This window comes from Homo sapiens, chromosome 16 (assembly GCF_000001405.40).
Source record: "Homo sapiens chromosome 16, GRCh38.p14 Primary Assembly".
In the NCBI taxonomy this organism is placed as follows: Eukaryota; Metazoa; Chordata; class Mammalia; order Primates; family Hominidae; genus Homo; species Homo sapiens.
Window position 1 is genome coordinate 28,547,369 of NC_000016.10, and position 15,027 is coordinate 28,562,395.

Consider the following 15,027-nt stretch of genomic DNA (forward strand, 5'->3'; position numbering starts at 1 on the left):
CTTACCTCTTAGCACTGTTAAAAAAAAACGAGGCCAGGCGTGGTGGCTCACGCTGTAATCCCAGCAATTTGGGAGGCTGAGGAGGGCACATTGGTTGAGCCCAGGAGTTTGAGACCAGCCTGGGCCACATGGCGAGACCTCGTCTATACAAAAAAATACAAAAATTAAGACCGGGAGCGGTGGCTCATGCCTGTAATCCCCACACTTTGGGAGGCTTAGGCAGGCAGATCACTTGAGGTCAGGAGTTCCAGACCAGCCTGGGCAACATGGTGAAACCCCTGTCTCTACTAAAAATACAAAAACTAGCCCAGCATGGTGGCACCTGTAATCCCAGCTACTCAAGAGGCTGAGGAAGGAGAATCACTTGAACCCCAGGAGGTGGAGGTTGCAGTGAGCCGAGATCGTGCCATTGCACTGCAGCCTGGGCGACAGAGCAAGGAGCTGTCTGAAAAAAAAAAAAAGAAGAAAAAAAAAACCCACCACACACAAAAAGCAAAAATTAGCTGTGTGTGGTGGTGTGTACCCATAGTCCCAGTTACTTGGGAGGCTGAGGAGGGAGGATCGCTTGAGCCGGGGAGGCAGAGGTTGCAGCGAGCCAAGATTGTGCTACTGCACTCCAGCCTGGGTGACAAAGCAAGACCCTGTCAAAACAAAACAAAACAAAACAAAAAAACCACACAAAAACCCCTGAGGTATCCATATTAGCCATTGATTCAGCCCATTCAATTTCTTTTATAGACAGTTTGATTAGTCAAGATCATACTTACAAAAAAACCCATAAAAATGTCTACCGTCCTAAACTTATCATATTTAAGCTCCAGTGAAAATTCTCAAATATCAAATCTGTTTCCAGCTGGGGTCACTGATATCTGATGTCCAATGCCGTCACTTCTGGGTTTTCACGTTCACCAGGGCTGGTCCTGGTCGTCTCCTCCACTGGGCTGTCTGGCCCATGCCCCACGGGGTCAACATGGAGGGGTCTTTAACACCCAGGTGTATGTCAAAAAAACAAGGGAGGGCAACATCGTGCTGTAATTTTTGGTTGGGATAACAATTCAGGTTTCATCTGCTCTGGCTGACTTTCTGCCTGAGCGCCCCTGCATGGAGGCACGCTCATCCAGCCGCCTGGTGGGTACCGGACTTCAAAGGTGGAGTTCTGCTGAAGGTCAAGAGGATCCCAGGGCTCAGTCAGGGGGACCTTGGAGCTCAGCTTGGCGGTTTGTCCAGCCTGCAGCATCAGTCCATCCTCTTAGGGAAGATGTATTCAAACAGTCTCTTGCAGGTCAAGTGCGTCTTCCTGGTGTCCTGATGGGTGGGGTGGTGGGTGGAGACCTGGGACGGCTTTGCTGCGGAGTGTAACGGGTGTAGACGGAGTGCCCTGAAAACAATGCGTTGTCCCACCCCACCCACCCCTGGGCCACAGACACCGTCCCCTACCCTCCCACCTCGGGCCAAGGGGCCGTGCCCCCCTACCCCATGCCCCAACCCATGTAGAATGAAGCGAGCCCAGACATCATTGTCGCCCTCCGCAACGGTGCATCTGTGCTCCCATTTTTGCAAGAAAAATTATTTTCTTTTTCTTTTTCTTTTTTTTTTGAGACGGAGTCTCACTCTGTCCCCCAGGCTGGAGTGCAGCGGCATGATCTTGGCTCACCGCCTCCACCTCCTGGGTTCAAGCGATTCTCCTGCCTCAGCCTCCCAAGTACTGAGCAGCTGAGATTACAGGTGCGGGCCACCACGCCTGGCTATTTTTTTTTGTATTTTTAGTAGAGACGAGTTTCACTATGTTGGCCAGGCTGGTCTCAAACTCCCGACCTCAGGTGATCCCCCCACCTCGGCCTCCCAAAGTGCTGGGATTACAGGCGTGAGCCACCGCACCTGGCCAGAAAAATTATTTTCATTATTGAAAATAAAAGTAGGGGGGGCAATGAGATGTAAACCAAACTCTCCAAAGTGGTTATATCCTAGACTGGGGTTCTGGATAATTTTTACTTTCTCCTTTATGGACTCCAGATCTCTGTAGTGTTGGACTTTTGCACAATGTATATCAGAAAAAAAGGCAACATTTAAGAGTTAATGTATTTCATCTTTTTCCTTTTGGATTGCAGGCACACTATGCCACCTTCTGGTCATGATATGGCTACGTGTGCCTGCAGCGGGGACAAAAACCATTAAATTGTGAATAGTTACAATTTCCTCTTTGCCATGGGAGGTCAGATCCTGAGAGAGCTGTGTGTGTGCGCGCGTGTGTGTGTGTGTTCTGAGAAATGGTCTCACTCTGTTGTCCAGGTTGGAGCGCAGTGCAGCGGCGTATTCACAGCTCACTGCAGCCTCAACCTCCTGGGCTCAAGTGATCCTCATGCCCCACCTCCCTGTCCCCCACCATACCCGGCTGATTTTTTTTTTCTTTGAGACAGAGTCTTGCTCTGTCACCCAGGCTGGAGTGCAGTGGCACAATCTCAGCTCACTGCAACCTCTGCCTCTCGGGTTCAAGCGATGCTCCTGCCTCAGCCTCCCTAGTAGCTGGGACTACTCGGCTAATTTTTTTTATTTTTATTTTTTATGAGGCTGGAGTGCAGTGGCACCATCTCAGCTCACTGCAACCTCCGCCTCTTGGATTCAAGCGATTCTCCTGCCTCAGCCTCACCAAGTAGCTGGGATTACAGGCATGCGCCACCACGCCCAGCTAATTTTTGTATTTTTAGTAGAGACAGGGTTTCACCATGTTGGCCAGGCTGATCTCAAACTCCTGACCTCAGGGGATCCACCCGCCTTGGCCTCCCGAAGTGTTGGGATTACAGGTGTGAGCCACTCCGCCTGGCCTGATTTTTACTTTTTTTTGAGACAGAGTCTCACTCTGTCACCCAGGCTGGAGTGCAGTGGCACGATCTCGGCTCACTGCAAGCTCCACCTCCCGGGTTCATGCCATTCTCCTGTCTCAGCCTCCCGAGTAGCTGGGACTACAGGCACCTGCCACCACGCCTAGCTAATTTTTTGTATTTTTAGTAGAGACGGGGTTTCACCGTGTTAGCCAGGATGGTCTCGATCTCCTGACCTCGTGATCCGCCCGCCTTGGCCTCCCAAAGTGCTGGGATTACAGGTGTGAGCCACCCCGCCTGGACTGATTTTTAAATTTTTTTTTTTTTTTTTGAGACAGAGTCTCGCTCTGTCACCCAGGCTGGAGTGCAGTGGCACGATCTCGGCTCACTGCAAGCTCCACCTCCTGGGTTCATGCCATTCTCCTGTCTCAGCCTCCCAAGTAGCTGGGACTACAGGCGCCCGCCACCACGCCTGGCTAACTTTTTGTATTTTTAGTACAGACAGGGTTTCACCGTGTTAGCCAGGATGGTCTTGATCTCCTGACCTTGTGATCCACCCACCTCGGCCTCCCAAAGTGCTGGGATTACAGGTGTGAGCCACCGCGCCCGGCTAATTTTTAAATTTTTTGTAGAGATGAGATCTCACTCTGTTACCCAGGCTGGTCTTGAATTCCTGGGCTCAAGCGGTCCTCCTGCCTCAATTTCAGTAGTAGCTGGGACTACAGGTGCATGCCACCACGCCTGGCTAATTAAAAAGATTTTTTTTGTAGAGACAGGATCTTGCTATGTTTTCCAGGCTAGAGTGCAGTGGCACAATCATAGCTCACTGTTGCCTTGAACTCTTGGCCTCAAGTGATCCTCTAGCCTCAGCCTCCCAAAGCAGTGGGATTGTAGGCATGTGCCACTCTGGCCCGAATAGATGAGGGGAGATCATTTAAGATGGCATTGCTCAGTCTCACTAGTGGGCATACATCTCAGAGAAATCTTCATATAGACCGCAGGGGAATAAGCATGAGGTTGTTCACTGTGGCATTGTTTGTGGTAGCCAGTAGTAGTTGGAGGCAACTTACAGGTCCATCATAACTGAAATGTTGCTGCCCACTTCGAAATATTGCATGGTTGCTGTAAGTCATAGGTAAAGTGTGCCCACAATGACAGGTGTTGAAAGCAGAGGGCTGAGGCCTGGCGCGCTGGCTCACGCCTGTAATCCCAGGAAATTTGGGAGGCTGAGGTTAGTGGATCACCTGAGGTCAGGAGTTTGAGACCAGCCTGGCCAACATGGTGAAACCCCATCTCTACTAAAAATATAAAAAATTAGCTGGGCGTCGTGGCGCGCGTCTGCACTCCAGCCTGAGTGACAGAGTGAGACTCTGTCTCAAAAAAATTTTTAAAATAACAAATAAATAGAGAGGCCGTGCAGAGCCCAATGACGAAGTGTGTCATTAAGTAGAAATAAGTAACTCAACCTTAGCACCAGCGATTAAAAAACAGAGAACCTTTGCAGTTGTTTAGGGAAGATGTCCCTACTTTGGCCTAGGGTGGATGTGGTGGAGGTGAAAAGTAGGTGGATTGTGTTATATGAATGAATATGTGTAAAGGATTTTGAACAGTGCCCGGTGCATAGCAAGTGCCTAACAAATGTGTTTTTATATTGCAGACACGTGGTGGATTGAATGAGGGAGGGGAGGGAAAGGGTGATGTCAGGGATAACCCCCAGGTGCTGGCTCAGGACATTGTACTAAGTAGGAGGTGGGACATGAAAACTGAGTATAGATGATTCTTTTGAGAAATGTGGATGTGGAGAAGACAGAGCAATTCCTTACATGTGGACAACACTCTAAAACACTTTTTAAAAAGTTAATAAATACATGTTTATTGTAGAAAAATCAGAAATTAACGATAAAATTTTAAAACAGGGCAGAGACCAAAATAATTTAAAAAACAACTGTAAGCTCTACATCTCTCCTGATCAGTGACTAGGGTTGATTTTTTAAATTTATTTTATTTATTTATTTTTTGAGACAGAGTCTTGCTCTGTTGCCCAGACTGGAGTGCAGTGGCGCAATCTTGGCTCACTGCAACCTCCGCCTCCTGGGTTCAAGTGGTTCTTTCCTGCTTCAGCCTCCAGAGTAGCTGGGACTACAGGTGCGTGCCACCATGCCCAGCTAATTTTTGTATTTTTAGTAGAGACATGGTTTCATCATATTGGCTAGGCTGGTCTCAAACTCCTGACCTCGTGATCTGCCCACCTCGGCCTCCCAAAGTGCTGGGATTACAGGCGTGAGTCACCACGCCTGGCCTAGCTAGGGCTGATATTTAACAATCAGGAAAAAGAGCCCCTGAGACCTTTACAAATGCAAAATTTGCAAAATCCCTCAAAGCATAACCTTCATAAAAGGCAGTAAGTAGAACTGCAGCTGGGTGGATGGGCATGTCATTCACTGACCTGACGCCCACAGAAAGAACTGCAAGTGTGATGGAAGAAAATGATGCATTAATTTTGGGGTTAACATAGTTTCAGTGCTAACGCCTGAGATTCTCTAATAAACAGAAAAATACTGACGGGGCTGAGGTTGGTGGCTCATGCCTGTAATCCCAGCACTTTGGGAGGCTGAGGCAGGAGGATCGCTTGAGCCCAGGAACTCAAGACCAGCCTATGCAACATAGCAAGACCCCCATCTCTACCAAAAAAAATTTAAAAATCAGCAGAATGTGCTGGTGTGTGCTTGTAGTCCTAGCTACTCAGGAGCCCTGATGGCACCACTGCACTCCAACCTGGACAACAGAGCGAGACCCTGTCTCAAAGAGAAAAAAAAAGAAACATGTGATGGCCAGGCACTGTGCTAGGTACTAGGAATACACAGGTGAACACAAGATGATCCCAATCTCATAGGACTTGCAAGTTTATCAAATAATCAACAAATAATTACAGACATTTGTAGGTTATGTAAGAAACTTTAAGATACCAGGATGGCTTTCGATAAAATACCATTGAGGCTACATGTCCATTGCACGTCCATATCCTTAGTACTTTCCTGAGAAGATTCCCTAGAAGTGCGATTTCTGGGTCTAAAGATCTGCTTGTTTTTTGTTTGTTTGTTTTTTTGAGATGGAGTTTCCCTCTTGTCACCCAGGCTGGAGTGCAATGGTACAATCTCCAGTCACTACAACCTCCGCCTCCTGAATTCAAGCGATTCTCCAGCCTCAGCCTCCCCAGTACCTGGGATTACAGGCACCCGCCACCACGCCCGGCTGATTTTTGTATTTTTTAGTAGAGACGGGGTTTCACCATGTTGGCCGGGTTGGTTTCAAACTCCTGAACTCAGGTGATCCGCCCGCCTTAGCGTCCCAGTGTTGGGATTACAGGCGTGAGCCACCGCGCCCGGCCTGTTTTTAATTAATTTTTTAACAACAGACTTTTATTTTTTAGGGCATTTTTAGGTTCACAACAAAATTGAGCAGAAAGTACAGTTTTCATATTACCCCTGCGCCCACCCACCTCCAGCAAGCAGCAATCTGTTCGCTTTCAAGTTTTATTTATTTATTTATTTATTGCATTTTGTTTTAAATAGAGTCTGGGGAAATGGGAGAAAACGCTGAAAACGCACAAGCACTTTGGTTGGTTAAATTAGGGTTCCGCCAAGAGCCGGAGCGGTGTGCCAAGTGAAAACTACATTTCCCACGGGGCAGCGGGTCACGTCACAGAGGAACGACTACGCATGCGTGCAAGGTCCTCCGCGCGCGACTACGCTCATAAAAGGAAAAAAAAGCGTGTGCGGTTCTCGACGTGCCGCCAATCTTCGAACGCAGGTCTGTGATCATCCGCAGACTCCGAAAAAGGGTTCGAGGAACGCGCCTGCTCCCCTCGTCGCAGTTTCCAGCCCGACGAGCTTGTTTTGTCCCGGACTCGGTAGGTGGCGACGGGCCGTGGCCTGAGACCTCCGGCGAAACGCGGGAGCGAAGGGCTGAGTCCTCCCTCCGCGCCGCGGCTCCCGACCTCCCTGAGGCGGCGCTCTAGGGGCGGTGCGCACGCGCTCTGGGCGGGAGGGGGGCGGGGCTCGTGGGGGTGGGGGCGGGAGAGGAGGGCGGGGCCGGGGCTCGGGGAGGGCGGGCCCTGCGCCCGGCCGCTCGAGGTCTGCGCTTGCGTGCTTCCATCCCCGGCGAGGGTGGGAAACAGCGACACGCTGGGCTCGGCACGGACGCAGCTTCCAGGTGGGGTACTCGGACCCGGGTCACGAAGATGCGGACAGAGGATGGGCCCCGAACTCCAGCACTTATTTTATGATTTGCACAAAAATTTTGTATATATATATAGTTCTTAACAAGATACACTAACAGCTCGTCGTTTGCCCAGGAGGCTCAACCTCCCGCCTCGGCCTCCCAAAGTGTGGGGAGTATAGGCGTGAGCCCCCGCGCCCGGCCAAAAAATGCCCGTCTTAAGAACAACAAAACAGCCTCCTTCACCCTCGCTATCCTCCAGTTACCTCCTCCTCGGCTCCGGTTTGCAGCCAAAGGCCTTAGTCTACCCTCACTAATGCCTTTTCTCCTCCAAGTCTTGAACCCTTGAGCCTCTAGTCAGGCTTTGGTCTCCACCACTCCACTAAAAAGGCTTCTTGTCAAAGCCACCAGTGATCTCTAGGTGGCCAAATGCATTGTTAAGTTAGGTCTCAGTCCTGTTCAGCATTTGATGCTGTGGATCACTGCCCCTCCTTGAAACACTGTTTTCATTTGGCTTGCTGAACGTTCTCTTCCTTTGCCTCTGCTCTCTCTGGCTTCTCCTCTGCTGATTCTAACCTAGGCATCATCTCACATTTTTGTTTTTATTAGAGACACGTTCTCTGTTGCTCAGACTGGAGAACAGTGGTGTTATTACAGCTCACTGCAGCCTCAAACTCTTGGGCTTAAGCAGTCCTCCTAACCAAAGCCTCCCCAAATGCTGGAATTACAGGCATGAGCCACCGCAATCCCAGTTTCACATTTTAAATGTAAATACTGGCCAGGCGCGGTGGCTCATGCGTGTAATCCTAGCACTTTGGGAGGCCGAGGTGGGCAGACTGCCTGAGCTCAGGGGTTTGAGACCAGCCCGAGCAACGTGGTGAAATCCAGTCTCTTCTAAAAAAAAAAAAAAAAATTAAAAAATTAGCCGGGCGTGGTGGTGCACGCCTGTAATCCCAGCTACTTGGGAGGCTGAGGCACAATAATCACTTAAACCCAGGAGGTGGATGCTGCAGTGAGCCAAGATCGTGCCACTGCACTCTAGCCTGGGTGACAGAGCAAGACCCTGTCTCAAAAAAGAGTTCTAGAGGTGGAAGAAAATCCACATATAAGTGGACCTGCACAATTAAAACCTGCATTGTTTGAGGGTCAACTGTATAGCTATTTTAAAAGAGATTTATTGTGATGGATTGGGTGACACTATTATAGAGGCTGAGAAGTCCCGAGATTTGCCATCTGCAAGCTGGAAGCCCAGGAAAGCAAACCCTCAGGAAACTCACAGACACACTCTAAAGTGTTTCACCAGCTATCTGGGAATCCCCTAGCCCAATCAGTTTGACACATAAAGTTAACCATCACATTTCCCTAGCTTTGTTTTTCAGTTGCCTCAATCATCATTTTACTGGTGATACTTTGAGTGTTGTCATAATAGCCTAATGGTGGGTTGGCAGCTTCCACTTTTGTGATCTCTTTTACTATTGAATATGCTGAAGTCGTGACACAACTTGGAATTCAGAGGAAGAGCATAGGTTTTAGAACTTGCAGCCTTGCAGCCCCAGCTCAACTACCTATTTTTCCTGAGTTACCTAGCATAACCTATCTGAATTTCAGTTTCTTCACTATACTTACTATTCTGTTATCTATTTTATAGGATTGCTGTAAGGTTTAAATGAGAAACACTGGCATAAGTTGCAATACAGAGGCATGAAGGAAAAAAATTGTCTTCTTAATGTCTCTTTAACCAATTGATGAATATAGATTCTATTTATTTATTTATTTATTTTTGAGATGGAGTCTCGCTCTGTCACCCAGGCCGGAGTATAGTGGTGCAATGTCAACTCACTGCAACCTCTGCCTCCCGGGTTCAAGTGATTCTCCTGCCTCAGCCTCCTGAGTAGCTGGGATTACAAGCATGCACCACCATGCCTGGCTAATTTTTTGTTTGTTTGTTTGTTTGTTTTGAGACGGAGTTTCACTCTTTGTTGCCCAGGCTGGATTGCAATGGCGCAATCATGGCTCACTGCAACCTCCGCCTTCCGGTTTCAAGCGATTCTCCTGCCTCAGCCTTCCAAGTAGCTGTGATTACAGGCATGTGCCACCACACCCGATTAATTTTGTATTTTTAGTAGAGACAGGGTTTCACCATGTTGGCCAGGCTGGTCTTGAACTCCTGATCTTAGTTGATCTGCCGGCCTTGGCCTCCCAAAGTGCTGGGATTACAGGTGTGAGCCATTGCGCCCAACCTACTTATGTTTTTTTTAGAAACAAGGTCTTACTCTGTCACCCAGGCTGGAGCCTAGTGGTGCCATTATAGCTCATTATTCCCAAATTCCTGGGCTCAAGTGATCCTCCTGCCATAGCCTCCTGAGTAGCTAGGACTACACATGTGCACCACCCTGCCCAGCTAATTATTTTATTTTGTTTTTGTAGAGACAGGGCCTCCGTGTGTTGCCCAGGATGGTCCTGAACTCCTGACTTCAAGTGATCCTCCCATTTCGGCCTCCCAAAATGCTGGGATTACGGTCATGAGCCACTGCACCCAGTTTGCAGATTCTCATTGCTAGTGACTGGGTTGAGAGTGTGGGATGTGAGTGTGGGGTATTAGGTTCCTCTTTCCCTTTGACCCAGAACAAAGCTCTTACTGTTTTAAGCCCTGTGGGATTAATCTTAGAGTGGCTTAAGTGTAGGATATTTGGATTTGTTTATTTGAGGCCTTTTATGCTATTATAGTAAAAGGGCCAGCAATTTTAGGCTGGGTATTAGTGGTTAACATATGCTTCTACCCTGCAGCCTTTGTCCCTCAGAATTGGCTATCTCTTCAGACCGTGCTTAATGAAAGTTCTTATTAGTCAAGCTACTCAGTTGCAGATAACAAAAAGCTACTCTGACTAGCCTAAGCTGAAAGGGGTGTTTGTTGACTCTGTGATATTGTAAAATATATATCTGGTTTGTATCCCAGTTTGGAGCTTCCTGGAGGGTGGCGTGCCCAGGGTGGGTATGGAAGCTCTTCGCTCCTTCCCACATGCTTTGCCCTGTGCACCTCTTCCTTCATCTGTATCCATTGTGACATCCTTTATAATAAGCCAGTAAACCTAAGTGTTTCCCTGAGTGCTGAGAGCTGCTCCTGCAAATTAATGGAACCCAAGGAGGGAGTCATGGAAACCCTGATTTATAGTCAGTTGGTCAGAAGCACAAATAAAGCAACTGGGGGCTTGTGACTGGCATTGAGAATTGGGGGGACATGCTCGTGGGACTGAGCCCTCAACCTGTGGGGTTTGACACTCTGTCTGGGTGGATAGTGTTGGAAATAAACTGAATTAGAGGACATCCAGCGTGTATCCACTGCAGACTCAATGGATTGATTGGTGTTGGGGAGAAATCTCCACACATTTGGCCACGGAAATCTTATGTGTTGATTATCCTATATTGTGACAGCAGAGGAGAAAGTTTTGTTTTTTCCTCACAGACTGTAGCTGAAGAGTCCTGGAGTAAATCAGTTTCAGATGGGACTCTATCCAGAAGCCTAAATTATGTCACCAGTATTTTCTGTTTTTCTTTCTCTGTTTTTTTTTTTTTTTTTTTTTTTTTTCAGAGACGGGGTCTTGCTGTGTTTCCCAGGCTGGTCTTGAACTCCAGGCCTCAAGAGATCCTCCTGCCTCAGCCTCCTGAAAGCTGGGACTACAGGAGTCCACCACCACACCTGGGTACTTTTTTTTTTTTTTGAAACGGAGTCTCGCTGTGTCGCCAGGCTGGAGTGCAGTGGTGCAGTCTCGACTCACTGCGACCTCCACCTCCCGGGTTCAAGTGATTCTCCTGCCTCAGCCTCCCAAGTAGCTGGGACTACAGGCATGCACCACCATGCCCAGCTAATTTTTTTTTTTTTTTGTATTTTTAGTAGAGATGGGGTTTCACCATGTTGGCCAGGCTGGTCTTGACCTCTTGACCTCATGATCCACCCGCCTTGGCCTTCCAAAGTGCTGGGATTACAGGTGTGAGCCACCACGCCTGGCTGCACACCTGGGTACTTTTTATTTTTGGTAGAGATAGAGCCTCGCTATGTTGACAAGTCTGGTCTCAAACTCCTGGGCTCAAGCAATCCTCTGTACTTGGCCTCCCAAGGTGTTGGGATTACAGGCATGAGCCACTGCGACCCGCCTGTTTATTGGTTTTGTTAAATGCCTTGTCATGAGGCATTAAAAAGCCCATGATGGAAAGAAGATAGCCCCAGAGAAGGGATTCCAAATTCTTCACAAATTCTTCAACAGATGAGTGGATTAAAAACGACATCTATCCATAGAATGGAATGTTATTTAACCATAAAAAGGAATGAAGTTACTGATACATGCTGTGACATTGATGACCTTTGGAAACATGCTAAGTGAAAGAAGCAAGTCACATAAGGTCACAGTACAATTCTATTTATATGAAATGTCTAGAATAGGCAAATCTACAAATATGAATTAGAATAATGGCTGCCAGTGACTGAGAGGAGAAGGGGGTGGGGAATGACTGCTAATGAGTATAAGGTTTTAAGGAGAGTTGGTGAAAATGTTCTAAAATTAGATAGTGGTGATATTTGCACAACCTTGTGACTAACATAACACTGAATTGCACACTTTAAAAAAGTGAATTGGGGTGGGTGCGGTGGCTCACATTTTTAATCCCAGCACATTTTGGGAGGCTGAAGCAGGAAGATTGCTTGAGCCCAGTAGTTTGAGACCAGCCTGAGCAATATGATGAGACCTCATCTCAACAGAAAATTATAAAATTAGCTGGGCGTGGTGGTGCACACCTGTAGTCCCAGCCACTTGGGAGGCTGGGGCAGGAGGATTGACTGAGCCAAAGAAGTCAAGGCTGCAGTGAGCTGTAATTACACCACTTCACTCCAGCCTGGGCAATGAGAGTGAGACCCTGTCTCAAATAAGTAGATAGAGAGATAGAGAATTGTATGGCATGCGAATTATCTTCATTAAGCTGTTTTTGTTGTTGTTGTTGTTTTGAGACGGAATCTCACTCTGTCACCCAGACTGGAGTGCAGTGGTGCGATTTTGGCTCACTTTAACCTCCGCCTCCCGGATTCAAGCGATTCTTGTGCCTCAGCTTCTCAAGTAGCTGGGATTACAGGTGTGTGCCACCACACCCAGCTAATCTTTGTACTTTTTTAGTAGAGACAGTGTTGGCCAGGCTGGTCTCGAATTCCTGGCCTCAAGTGATCTGCCCACCTTGGCCTCCAAAAGTGCTGGGATTACAGGTGTGAGCCACCGCACCCGGCCCATTAAGCTGTTATTTTAAAAAGTCTGCCTAAACCTCTGAACTAGACAAACATGGGGCATATTCCAAGCAACTTAGCCAAGTTTAAAAGATCAGTACAGATTTCAGCTGATGCTTGCCTCAGGGAAGCTAGATTTGGAGTTTGAGTTCAGCTGTGATTAACTGCATGTTAACAGAAACAAAACACCAAACTCTCAAGAACATAACAGAATCCAGAGTCTACAACACATCATCTACAATGTCCAGGATATAATCCAAAATTCTTAGACACAAGAAATGGCCTGGGCATGGTGTCTTATGCCTGTAAACCCAGCACAGCACTTTGGGAGGCTGAGGCAGGCAGATCACTTGAGGACAGGAGTTTGAGACCAGCCTGGCCAACATAGCAGAACCCCTTCTCTACTAAAAGTACAAAAAAATTAGCTAGGCGTGGTGGTACACAGGAGGCTCAGGAGGCTAAGGCACAAGAATTGTTTGAACCCAGGAAGTGGAGGTTGAGCTGAGATCGTGCCACCACTCCAGCCTGGGCAACAGAGCAAGACTCTGACTCAAAAAAAAAAACCACGAAAATTTTAAAATATATTTTTACAAAACAGGAAAATATGATCTGTGTTCACAAAAAAAGGCAATGAATGGGCCCGGCACAGTGGCTCACGCCTGTAATCCCAGCACTTTGGGAGGCTGAGGTGGGTGGATCACGAGGTCAGGAGTTCGAGACCAGCCTGACCAACATGGTGAAACCCCATCTCTACTAAAAATACTAAAATTAGCTGGACGTGGTGGCGCACACCTGTAATCCCAGCTACTCAGGAAGCTGAGGCAGGAGAATTGCTTCAACCTGGGAGGAAGAGGTTGCAGTGAGCCGAGGTTACACCATTGCACTCCAGCCTGGGCAACAGAGCGAGACTCTGTCTCAAGAAAAAAAAAAAAAAGAACGAAAATTTTAAAATATATTTTTACAAAACAGGAAAATATGATCTGTGTTTACAAAAAAAGGCAATGAACGGGCCCGGCGCAGTGGCTCACGCCGGTAATCCCAGCACTTTGGGAGGCCAAGGCAGGCGGATCACGAGGTCAGCAGATCGAGACCATCCTGGCTAACATGGTGAAACCCCGTCTCTGCTAAAAATACAAAAAATTAGCTGGGCGTGGTGGCGGGTGCCTGTAGTCCCAGCTACTTGGGAGGCTGAGGCAGGAGAATGGCGTGAACCTGGGAGGCGGAGCTTGCAGTGAGCTGAGATCGCACCACTGCACTCCAGCCTGGGTGACAGAGCAAGACTCTGTCTCAAAAAAAAAAAAAAAAGGCAATCAACGAAGATCAACCCCAAGAGGACCCAGATGTTGGTATCAACTGACAAGAATTCTAAAAGAGAATCAAAATAATTAGTTAAAATAAATTTTTTTAAAAATTTAAAGCAGTTATTAAAACTTCGTCAGGCCAGGTGTGGTGGCTCACACCTATAATCCCAACAATTTGGGAGGCTGAGTCGGGAGGATCGCCTGAGCCCAGGAGTTAAAGACCAGCCTGGGCAACATAGTGAGACCCCATCTCTACAAAAAGTTTAAAAATTAGCTGGACAGGCACAGTGGCTCACGCCTGTAATCCCAGTACTTTTTGGGAGGCTGAGGCAGGCAGATCACCTGAGGTCAAGAGTTGGAGACCAGCCTGGCCAACATGGTTAAACCCTGTCTCTACTAAAAATACAAAAATTAGCTGGGTGCGGTAGCTGGCACCTGCAATCCCAGCTACCTGGGAGGCTGATGCAGGAGAATTGCTTGAAACTTGGAGGTGGAGATTGCAGTGAGCCAAGATCGCACCACTGCACTCCAGCCTGGGCAACAGAGCAAGACTCCGTCTCTAAAAACAAAAAACAAAAAAACACAAAAGGTGCAGGGGAAAGAAAGAAAGAAAAGATGTGGCCTTCTAAGTCAGTGGGAACACGAGCATGCTAGGAGTCAAAAAGTTTAGGGTACTGGGCGTTACCTCAGCATTCCTAAGAATGCTTGAAACCTTGCTGGAATTGCTGAGCCTCTCAGGGTTTGGGACAGTTTTGTTTACATGATAGAATTGTGATAAGATTAGCTGGCACCCTCGGACTCTGATAAAACCAGCCACTTGGCCTGGAAGTGCAGTGTCCCCTCATCTGGCCTTCCAATTCATTATGGTTCCAACCCCAGGGCCTCATTCCCACTTGCTTTGCACCAGCAGGCTTGGCATTTGTTCTCAGAAGGTCACAGAAACCTTTGCTTCTACTTAGAACATGTTTCCTGGGGAAGTTTAGACTTATGACTGACCAGATCCAGAGATAGCAGCACTTTGATGTAAAATCATAGGAAGAGCTTGTTCTCTCAGACAAGCCACTACCCAGTAGGCAAAGCTCAAACGAGAGCCCTTAAATGGTGTGGTCTTTGGCCAGGCCATCATCGTGGGGTTATTCCTAGGTTTGGCAAGCGTCAGCATTTCTTTTGCTTGTGCGATTGGCTCTTTTGCTCAGTGTAACAGCAGACCCCTGGCCTCCAGATGAGAAGGGCCACTAGCGTTCACTAAGTGCATGCTCTGGGCCGGCCACTGCCTAGGACCTTTCTTAGATAGTTGATCATCAAGTAGGTGCTCTTGTTTTAATTTTATTGAGACCCAGAAAGGTTAAATAATTCATCCAGGGTGAGTGTGAGGCTTTATGAGAACTTTACAGTTGTTCTCTCCCTTCCCCCTCCTTGGACT

At 47.8% G+C, this 15,027-nt stretch overlaps 1 protein-coding gene across 3 annotated transcripts in view, besides 2 other annotated features; it reads left to right on the forward strand.

The window, feature by feature from the left end:
* Positions 6,521–6,840: an enhancer, noted in NCBI's record as "active region_10642". NCBI's record gives its function as "activates an Ori minimal core promoter by ATAC-STARR-seq in GM12878 lymphoblastoid cells {active_cell/tissue: GM12878}" and the evidence as "EXISTENCE:reporter gene assay evidence [ECO:0000049][PMID:35858748]".
* SGF29 (SAGA complex associated factor 29) overlaps positions 6,552–15,027 on the forward strand; it is a 37,871-nt gene continuing 29,395 nt past the window's right edge. For all 3 annotated transcript variants that reach the window (XR_001751821.2, XM_017022894.2, NM_138414.3), the window contains exon 1: positions 6,552–6,729. The gene's annotated coding sequence lies outside the window, so the exon portion shown is untranslated. The remainder of the gene's footprint in view (positions 6,730–15,027) is intronic.
* Positions 6,861–6,980: a silencer, noted in NCBI's record as "silent region_7310". NCBI's record gives its function as "represses an Ori minimal core promoter by ATAC-STARR-seq in GM12878 lymphoblastoid cells {active_cell/tissue: GM12878}" and the evidence as "EXISTENCE:reporter gene assay evidence [ECO:0000049][PMID:35858748]".